Source organism: Homo sapiens, chromosome 18 (genome assembly GCF_000001405.40).
Source record: "Homo sapiens chromosome 18, GRCh38.p14 Primary Assembly".
NCBI classification, from domain to species: domain Eukaryota; kingdom Metazoa; phylum Chordata; class Mammalia; order Primates; family Hominidae; genus Homo; species Homo sapiens.
Window position 1 is genome coordinate 63,558,986 of NC_000018.10, and position 10,593 is coordinate 63,569,578.

Genomic DNA, 10,593 nt, shown 5'->3' on the forward strand with positions numbered 1-10,593 from the left:
CTTTCTTTCTTTCCTTCCTTCTTTCTTTCTTTCTTTCTTTCTTTCTTTCTTTCTTTCTTTCTTTCTTTCTTTCTCTCCTTCTTCTCTCCTTCTCTCCTTCTCTCTTTCTCTCTTTCTTTCTTTCTTTTTGTTTTTTCTGAGATGGAGTTTCGTTGTGTTGCCAGGCTGGAGTGCAGTGGCGCAATCTCAGCTCACTTCAACCTCCGCCTCCTGGGTTCAAGCAATTTTCCTGCCTCAGCCTCCAGAGTAGCTGGGATTACAGGCATGAGCCACCATGCCTGGCCTCTTTGAAATGTAAAGAAAATCAGAGTGTGTCAGTCTGAAATATAGTGAGCGTTGCTGAGTTCCCCAGATGTATTTTTCCTGGATGATCTTGATATAGATGTGGGAGCCATAATCTTCCACTGGGACCACTTCTCACCCTCCATTCCTCTGTTCTTCCCAGCTCACTTCCCCCAGCATGGTAACAGAGACAGCTGACATCTTACTAAGAAGCTCTATCTTGCTTCTGTACAAAACACGCATCTTTTAGCGGTGTTTAGCTCTTCTGATAGACACAGTGAAGGTCACATTTTGTTTCTTCTTTCCTTAGGCTGGGTCCTTAAACAATGAGAGCGGACTGGTCAGCTGCTACTTTGGGCAGCTTCTCTCCAAATTAGACAGGATCAAGACTGATTACACACTGAGTATTGCCAACAGGCTTTATGGAGAGCAGGAATTCCCAATCTGTCAGGTGAGTTGCACACGAATGGTGACTAAAGCTACCATGTAGCATACTATTTAAAAATCAGGGAGTAGCTGGGTTACTCACCTGCCATCTAGAACACAAACCTCTTTGACAGGATGATGCGCTGTGGACTGGTGAGGTGTCCAGGACCTCCCTCTTTCAGTCCCACAGTTTTCTTCTCTTCCCAGTGTTCAATGTGAGCAGTTTACGGGGCCCATTGTGGGTGGAATAGAGTGGGTGGGAAAAGGTTGTGTGAGTAATGGAGGCTTTGGAGCACGTGTGGGCTTGGTAATGGCATCCTCTCCTGACTGTCTTCCCCAGTCAATGTGCCTGGTTGCTGCACTTCTCTCTCCCTTATCTGTTAGGTGCCCCCAAGACATTTCTGTGGAATCTCCTTTTGTGCCAGGATCAGGCTACCCCCGCAATGCAATTGTGTTCACTATGCTCTTTTGAGAGTGGGGTAGCAGGAGGAGACTGCGTTTTGGCATTTGGAGCTGAAAGGCACAGGACTTGTGTCTGTGGCTAAACAGCTTCGTACCTAGAGCAAGCTGTGTCTCCATCTGGGCTTCAGTTTCCTTTTGAATCACTAGAAGGAGCCATGTGCTAAATAATAAATGTGGGGGATATGACCAATGGCAAAGACGTGACATGGTTGGTTAGAGCAGGACTAGCCAGGGGTTGGGTGGCCTCCTTTGGCCAAAATAAGTGTGTTTCCTTGCAATGAAAGTAAGATTTTTCATGCTGGATTTTTAAAAACTAGCCTTTTGATGAGCTATAAATTCATATATTAAACAATTCACCTGTTAAAAGTACACAAACCAATGGGTTTGGTATATTACATTACTGATTTTTTAAAATTATAGTAAAATACATATAAAATTTACCATTTATGTGTACATTTCAGTAGCATTACTTACATTCACAATGTTGTGTAACCATCACCTTATCTATTTCTAAAACTTTTTTTTTCATCACTCTAAACAGAAACTCTGCAACCATTAAGCGGGAGTTTAATTCTTAAAAACAGAAGCATTTTCCAGCCAAGTCTCTCAAGTTACTTGATACTTACCTTGTGATGGCTCCACAGATGGTTTGTTGAAATAAAAGGATATCCAGTAGGAAAGGCTTGTCCCGTTGTAACTATAGACTGTTCATGAATAATATTTGATATCCTCATTTTTCACTAAAAAAACTGAAATGTCTCTGGCTAGTTTAAGACTGGGGATGGCTAGAAACTGTCAGGCCTGTCCATGAAATGTGAAATGACCAGGCTCATCTTTCTTGGGAGACTTCTCAGGAGAGTCTCACTCCTAACTACGAGCATCACTGCCTGACTTTATTGCATTATTTCCCTTTTATTCCAATGGAACAGGAATACTTAGATGGTGTGATTCAATTTTACCACACGACGATTGAAAGTGTTGATTTCCAAAAAAACCCTGAAAAATCCAGACAAGAGATTAACTTCTGGGTTGAATGTCAATCCCAAGGTAAGAAAGCCCAAAAGCACGGGAGCTGGTATTGGTTTCCATTTAAAAGAAAATTGGTCTGCCTAGCTTTGCAGACTGCTGGTCTACTGGGGGCCAGAGGTTCACATATGTGGACTGTGTTCAAAGCATGGTTTGCAGAATGAGATACCATCTCACACCAGTCAGAATGACTATTATTAAAAAGTTAAAAAACGACAGATTCTGTCAAGGCTTCAGATAAAGGGGAACACTTATACACTATTGGTGGGAATGTAAATTAGCCATTGTGGAAAGTAGTTTGGAAATTTCTCAGAGTTAAAACAGAGCTGTCATTCGACCCAGCAATCCCATTACTGAGTATATATCCAAAGAAATAGAGATCATTCTACCAAAAAGACATATGCACTCATATGTTCATCACCACACTATTCACAATAGCAAAGACATGGAATTAACCTAAGTGTCCATCAATAGTGGGTTGGATAAAGAAAATGTGGTACATATACACCATGGAATACTACACAGCCATCAAAAAGAATGAAATCATGTCCTTTGCAGTAACATGATGGAAATGGAGGCCATAATCCTATGAATTAACACAGGAACAGAAAGGCAAACATTGTTCTCACTTATAAGTGGGAGCTAAACATTGAGGACACACAGACATAAATATGGCAAGGAACAATGAACCCTCCAGATACTAACTTGGGTCAGGGAGGGAGAGAGGAATGGGTTGAAAAACTACCTATAGGGTACTATGCCTACTATCTGTGAGCAACATGCCATGTAACAAACCTGCACATGTACTTCCTGTATCTAAAATAAAAGCTGAAATTTAAAAAAAAACAAAACAAAAAAGCATGGTCTGAACAGCATCAAACAGTTAAACTGCTTAGATATTGCTGTTATTTATTATTGCAGTTTTGGTCTCTGGTCTTGCTGGCTCTGGGCGGGAAAGGAGGACACCAGCCTCGTTAGTGCTGATCTTCTAGGTGGGGCTTAGAGAATGCTCCCTTCTACCGGTGCCCGTGTGAATTTGAAAAACAGAATAAACTCTTCCCTCCAGGACCAAAGTTAGTGACCTGAAGGGTCAGGTCAGGCTGCTGGACATAGACTAGGCCCCTTTTTGATCATCGTGTGGGGCTGGCGAAGGTGTTCGTGTACAGTGAAAAGTTTGGAGTGCATGAGAGAGCACAGGTAGTGCATTATGTCTCCTGCCTTCAGAGTGAGACCATGACCCCAGGCATTTGCATACATTTTGAGTGGCTGGAGGCTGGGAAATGACAGTTGACTTATTTTAGGCTGTCCTTGGTACCAGAGTGACAGTTTCGGTTCCTCCCTTCCATTTGGTGGCTTTCTCTCCCTGTCTCCTCTTTTTCTCACACTGACTTAGGGATGGGATACCCCTGCCTGCCTTTCCTTGGGAGAAGTCTCTAAATTCCAAAATTATTGCTTTTTCCTTCTTTCATAGGCCATAAAAATGACCATTCTTTCAAGGCTCTACTCAGCTGTCAAAAGGAAAGCAATTCATTAATGAAGCTCATATTAAGGCCTGGATATGTACTTTCCCCTTAGTGAGTTAACTCCTCCAGAAAATTTGAAATGTAGATGATGTCAACCTAATCTATTATTATGGGATTTAAATAGAGCTCTTCTTGAGATGGAAGATCTTTTCTTCTTAAGACATCTGCAAATATTCAAGTAACTGGTGATTTGGTAGTTTGAGTAGGAAAGGGTGTATACTAAAGGTGGGATATTGCCCGCTAGCCTGGGGCTTTTCAAGTGGAGCTTAGGGCTGTGTTATTGTGGAAGGAGCCCCAGAGCTGAGCCCAAAGGTGGAAGGCCTGAGGACCCATTCCTGCCAGTCTTACTGCTTCTTGGCTGTGTGACTTCAGCTCTCCCTGGATGCAATTGATTCTTCTATGAAGAAGGGATAATGATACCTCCTTATCGTGGGATGGATCAATTAATTGATTAAGGTGGGGTGGAATGAGAAAGAGCATATAAAAGTATCTATAAAATAGGTTTTATATCATGGTCTAGCACATTTATGTGTATTTTTGTTTACATGTAAGCATATACCTTATGCTATGTTGAGTGCTTGAGACAGGAAGTTTATATTGTAGTTCTTTGTTCTCAAGGGAGCTTATCATATTGTCAGATGACTAACTATATAATTTGAAAGATAAACCATAGTATAAGATGTCTACTGACAAGTTCCAAACACAAGCAATACAGGGAATCAAAGGAGATTCCTTCTGTTACAGTGCTGTGATTGGACCCCCTGCGAGGTGGAGTTAGAGGGTTTCTCCCCTGCCCCATCACCCCCTCGCTTACCTCCAGCCAGGACTGTGAATTAATCTTCTTGGGTTAGTTCTTGAATGAGACACTCCCTAGTCTTGGGGGTGATAAACTGCATTAAAAAGAATTATTGGCCAGGCACGGTGGCTCATGCCTGTAATCCCAGCACTTTGGGAGGCCGAGGCGGGCAGATCACCTGAGGTCAGGAGCTCAAGACCAGCCTGGCCAACATGGCGAAACCCCTTCTCTACTGAAAATAAAAAATTAGCCAGGCATGGTGGCGGGCGCCTGTAATCCCAGTTACTCTGGCGGCTGAGGCAGGAGAATCGCTTGAACCCAGAAGGCAGAGGTTGCAGTGAGCAGGGATCACGCCATTGCACTCCAGCCTGGGAGACAAGAGCGAAACTCTGTCTCAAAAAAAAAAAAAAAAAATTATCTACACAAATGCTTTTGATACAATTCATACTCAGGATATTCTCTGGGATCTTTTTTTAGGTAAAATCAAGGAACTCTTCAGCAAGGACGCTATTAATGCTGAGACTGTGCTGGTACTGGTGAATGCTGTTTACTTCAAGGCCAAATGGGAAACATACTTTGACCATGAAAACACGGTGGATGCACCTTTCTGTCTAAATGCGGTAGTGTATCAGAACTCATGGTTTTCTAGCTAGCCAACTCATAATTTCCACTAGGAATGATTTACAATATGTATACTCGAAAAGTTACAGCTTACATTTACAATAAGAACATTTTTCGTTGATAAGAACCAGTACCTGAATTTCATTGAGTATTTTTGTGCCAAGTGCTTCCTGCACTGAGTATTCTTCCATTTGTTATTTCATTTGTTCCCCCAAAGAGCATTATGAGATGGGTGTTATTATGATTTCCACTTAGGATTTGAGACAAAAAAAGGAAAGGCTAAGTTAGCTGGATTCATGCATTAGGATTCAATCTGTGAGTGTTTGCCCCAGAAACTTGTGTTCTAAGCTAGTAGATTTAGAATGGGAGGAAACAGAAAGGGTTGGGTCCCAGCCACCCACTTGTTGGCCAGCTAGCTTATTACTGGAGATGCATTTTTCTCTCAAGCACCAAATATCCCCATCTGCAGGTTGATGACCCCTCACCCACCACCTTGAGGTTATTATGAGATTTAAGGTGCCTGGGGTTGTGCTGTCCCTCTGAAGGAGCAGGTGTTGTTATTTAATATGGAGATGATTCTCACTTAACATGTCTGCCCTTGGTGCTGTGGTGGGGTCATCCAGGCCAGCTGGCATGGGGTGGTATGAGGCCAAGAGGCTGGGCTGGGATAGGCCCTACAGTGGGACAGCTGGCAGGGCGTGTTTCTGCTGACTTAACAGTGGAGATGCTTTGATAGTAAGTTTACTAATAGTCACCTTGGGAGCTGAAGAACTGATTAAAAAACATGGAAAGGGCCAGGTGAGGTGGCTTACCCAGCATTTTTGGAGGCTGAGGAGGGAGGATCAGTTGAGACTAGGAGTTTGAGACTAGCCTGGGCAACACAGGGAGACCGTGTCTCTACAAAAAATAAAAAAAATTAGCCAGGTGTGGTGGTCCACGCCTGTGGCCCCAGCTACTCAGGAAGCTGAGGTGGGAGGATTGCCTGAGCCCGGGAGGGTGAGGCTGCAGTGAGCTATGATGGCACCACTGCACTGCAGCCTAGGTGACAGAGCAAGACCCTGTCTCAGAAACAAAAAAGCAAACACCTGGCCCCCATCCCCGTCACTCCACAACAAAAAAAGACACGGAAAGATAAAGTGTTGGCAAAGTAAGGGCCACTGATGAGTGGGTAGACTCTTGTAGGCTGGATCCCTGGTGTGGCTCAGGACTTCTCCTGCAGAACCTTCTCATCTTTAGGAACCCCTGTCCTCCGTGAAGCTGGGGCCATATGAATTTGGGAGTTTCCCATAGCCGTCCTGTGACCTCCTACCTTGACTACTACAGAATGAAAACAAGAGTGTGAAGATGATGACGCAAAAAGGCCTCTACAGAATTGGCTTCATAGAGGAGGTGAAGGCACAGATCCTGGAAATGAGGTACACCAAGGGGAAGCTCAGCATGTTCGTGCTGCTGCCATCTCACTCTAAAGATAACCTGAAGGGTCTGGAAGAGGTAAATCTTCATTTCCACATCTCTACAAAATATTTAATGATAGATCTTTAGAGAACAACACTGTCTACTATCTACCATCTCGAGGAAATTCAGTACCTCAGCTGTCAGAGACATCAAGGAATGTGTAAGAATCTGAATTAGATTAGATATTTATTCCTCATTTGTTTAGAATTAAACAACAAATGCCAAAAATATTGGGATTGGAGTTTCTTCTTTAATCTCATAGCTCTCTGCCACTGTTTTAGCAAATCAAGGAATCTGGGTTCTGAGTAACTTGAAAAGTTTTTAAGTTTTCCCTTTTCTCTGAATATTCTGACTTCTGGCCTCTTACTCATACCATTTTTCTATAGCTCAGTTAATTAAAGAATTAACTGAATACTGTTTTGGGGAATATGTACCTTGACAGAAGTGTAGAGAGTGACAACAGAATTGATTGCTTGTGAGGTAGGAATTCATAAAGGCTGGAGAAGCTCAGCTACAGATTGTCCAGGGGGGTAAAGAGATAAAGATAGAAGGAGAGAGAAAGTGAGAAAGGAATACCAATATAGCAGGTATAGTAGTTACAACATCAATAACAACCATTATTCAGAATTTGCTATGTGCTATCACTGTGTTAAGTTCTTTATATACATGATTTTATTAATGCTTGCAAGAACTTAATCATATTATCTCTCTTTTATGGAAGAGGAAATTTAACTTCAGAAAATGAGGGCTTGGCCACAGAACTCAACTAATCGACTGAGCTTTGCTGTGCTTTGAACACTTGTCTCTCAAACACCAGAGCACACTGGAACCTGAGTTGTCCCCTAACTTCTTCTAAAGAGGAAAGATATTTGCTTGAAGTTTTAAATGAAATCAGACTATTCTCTAGCTTAGGGAAAGGTCTTGAAGGTTGTCACTGCCCACTGAAAGGGACTCAGGCACCTTGAAGTAATTGGGGCATTCTTTGTGGTCCCATAATCTGATGCTAAATATTATTTCCTTCCTCTTGTAGCTTGAAAGGAAAATCACCTATGAAAAAATGGTGGCCTGGAGCAGCTCAGAAAACATGTCAGAAGAATCGGTGGTCCTGTCCTTCCCCCGGTTCACCCTGGAAGACAGCTATGATCTCAATTCCATTTTACAAGACATGGGCATTACGGATATCTTTGATGAAACGAGGGCTGATCTTACTGGAATCTCTCCAAGTCCCAATTTGTACTTGTCAAAAATTATCCACAAAACCTTTGTGGAGGTGGATGAAAACGGTACCCAGGCAGCTGCAGCCACTGGGGCTGTTGTCTCGGAAAGGTCACTACGATCTTGGGTGGAGTTTAATGCCAACCACCCTTTTCTCTTTTTCATTAGACACAACAAAACCCAAACCATTCTCTTTTATGGCAGGGTCTGCTCTCCTTAAAAGGGGAGCAGTGTCTAGTACTTTGGAGCTGGAGGAAAATATCAATACAATCTTCCCCTGGCATAAGATGGGCATTTGAGTTTTTGGTAATATCTAAAGCATCTCCTTCATCCTCCAGCCATCGGCTTGTGCTTATCTTGATCTTTCTGTCACCCTGTAGCTTATTTTCATCTGAGTCTGTTAGTATTGAAGGGCTGTTGTTCTCTACCCTAAACTTTCAAGCATATAAATTCACCCTCTGTGACCTGAAGGTCAACACAATTCAGAACAGTACCTACCTCCTTTTGAAGGAATCCTAAAAGTTCAGGTCATTAGACCATTTCTAAGAGATGGCAAACTCAGAAGCCACTTTAACATGGGCAGCAAGAGAACATGTTTGACTGGAACGTGTTTGGAAACTCAGCTCTGTTTCTGGGGTAGTTTGACCGGAACGTGTTTGGAAACTCAGCTCTGTTTCTGGGATAGTTATGATTGTGGTCATCACTGGGCGAGATGCCCTGTTTCTTCCTTTGACAGCTACTGCATGGAAGATGTCCTGTGAGGTCTTTTCACCTAGGACAAGGCAGGGCTTGGGCGTATTTAAGTGATAGCTCAAAGATGTGTGACTGCCCCAACCAGCACTCATTTTGCACAGAGCAGGGGAATGATATTTGTCTTGTGATTTTGACACTGACCCAGGAAAGTGGCTAGTGGATTTAGAGGAGGTTTATCTCAGTTTTCCTTATTGAGTCCCCCAACATTATCATCAAACACTTCCCTCTGTCTCTCCTCCCCCTAGCTCCAAGAATTCCCACCTGTGGCTAGCTCCTTTTATGCACCCAGCACAGGCAGGTGTCAAGAGAAGTGCTGCTGGCATTGTGGACGGCTGGCCTCCGTATGCCCCTCTCTCTGCCTTCTGGCCACGTGGAGGCTGGCCTCTGTGTGCCCCTCTCTCTGCCTTCTGGCCACGTGGAGGCTGGCCTCCGTGTGCCCCTCTCTCTGCCTTCTGGCCACGTGGACTTTTGTGTCTTCCGAGAGGTCTCATGCCAGACCACATGGTGACAACAGGCTTGAGCCTGGGCATGGTGTCCATAGCAATGCTTGTTGGCTGGGCATGATGGCTCATGCCTGCAATCCCAGCACTTCTTGGGAGGCCGAGTCAGGTGGATCACTTGAGTCCAGGAGTTCGAGACCAGCCTGGGCAACATATTGAGACCCTGACTCTACAAAAAATACAGAAATTAGCCGGGCGTGGTGGTGTGCACCTATAGTCCCAGCTACTCGGGAGGCTGAGGTGGGAAGATCACTTGAACCCAGGGGATGGAGGCTGCAGTAAGCTGAGATGGCGCCACTGCACTCCAGCCTGGGTGACAGAGCGAAACCCTGTCTCAAAAAACAAACAAACAAAAAACCCAAAAAGCCAAAACAAAACCTGAAACCCTTGTCAAGAAGGCCATTGGGCTCATCTCAAGCTCTAGTCTACTGAAGGCCTGACCTCTGAGTGTTCCTACTCGCGGACTCAGGGCCTCTGTTCTCTGGTGTGGTAATCTGAGTTCCTAATTTCTATCTTAGCTGAATGTTCTGCCATGACCACTGACACGTCCAACTCACATCTCTTTGGAGTCAGTCTCTTTCCTATCGAGGTGGGTTTCAGGTCTTGCTTGCGGCTCAGTTTCCTTGGCCCACCTTGTGGCTGTCCTCCTCCCAGCTGCCACCAGTCGTTCAGTGTGGCCACGCAGTTTTTTTGCAGAAGGCAGGTGAACCACACCTGCTCCCATGCTAGCCTCCTCTTCCTTTTCTCACCTACCCCAGTGATTTCTTTGTGCTCTGAGAGACAAGTTCCATGTTCTCCATACAACCTTCTCATTGTTGAAGCTCACTTACGACCTAAAACAATTTGACGTTGGTAACGTGAGGCAGTTTGAGGCAGTGCCCTATCCAGAATGCATGTCCCATGGGTCAAATTAATTTCAGATAACCAAAAACTTCATGTCCCCTGTGGTTCCTTTTGGGGTTGACGTTTTGGGGGCTGTTTCCATGTCTGACTTGGCACCACTGCCCGACACGTAGCTGGAAACCATGACCTATATATAGGCCTGCACTGCCCGGCATTTCTTTTGTTCTTATTCTTTTACTTGGTAAACACATTTTTTTTTCATTTACATCGGGATTTCTCAGATTTTGAAGCATGAGAGGGAGAATGTATCTATTTACAATAATGAGGAAAATTAAGAATCTTAAATCTTTATGTAAATCAGTAAACATTCTTTACTAACCTTTGATTTATTAAGAAGTTTCTTCTGAATGAATAAAGCACTTTTGTTATTAGTTAAAATATATACGATGTGTTGCCAACTGATTTTTTTAGGGATATAAATTTAACTTCAAACTGTTTCATCCAAAAATATAAAAATACATAATCTATGAAACTAACAATTCATCTCAGTTACACAGGAAAAATACATCTTGCCCCAGTAATAGTTTCTCCCAGCTTTCCATCATAATTACATATGAAGGCATATAAAAAAGATGAAAACTGACAATGCTAAAACCAGAGTGATAGCCAGCTGATCATCAGAATATAGAAG

General features: G+C 43.4%; 1 protein-coding gene across 6 annotated transcripts in view; it reads left to right on the top strand.

Annotated features, from left to right (window-relative positions):
• SERPINB12 (serpin family B member 12) overlaps positions 1–10,344 on the top strand; it is a 50,220-nt gene extending 39,876 nt beyond the window's left edge. For 5 of the 6 annotated variants that reach the window (XM_005266778.4, XM_011526246.2, NM_001307928.2 and 2 more), the window contains 5 exons: positions 593–733; positions 2,100–2,217; positions 4,993–5,135; positions 6,460–6,627; positions 7,622–10,344. In XM_005266778.4, coding sequence (XP_005266835.2) covers positions 593–733; positions 2,100–2,217; positions 4,993–5,135; positions 6,460–6,627; positions 7,622–8,026 — 975 coding nt within the window. In that variant the 3' untranslated portion in view covers positions 8,027–10,344. The remainder of the gene's footprint in view (positions 1–592; positions 734–2,099; positions 2,218–4,992; positions 5,136–6,459; positions 6,628–7,621) is intronic. The other variant, NM_080474.2, reaches the window with a different exon arrangement.
• The last annotated feature ends 249 nt before the right edge of the window (positions 10,345–10,593 follow it).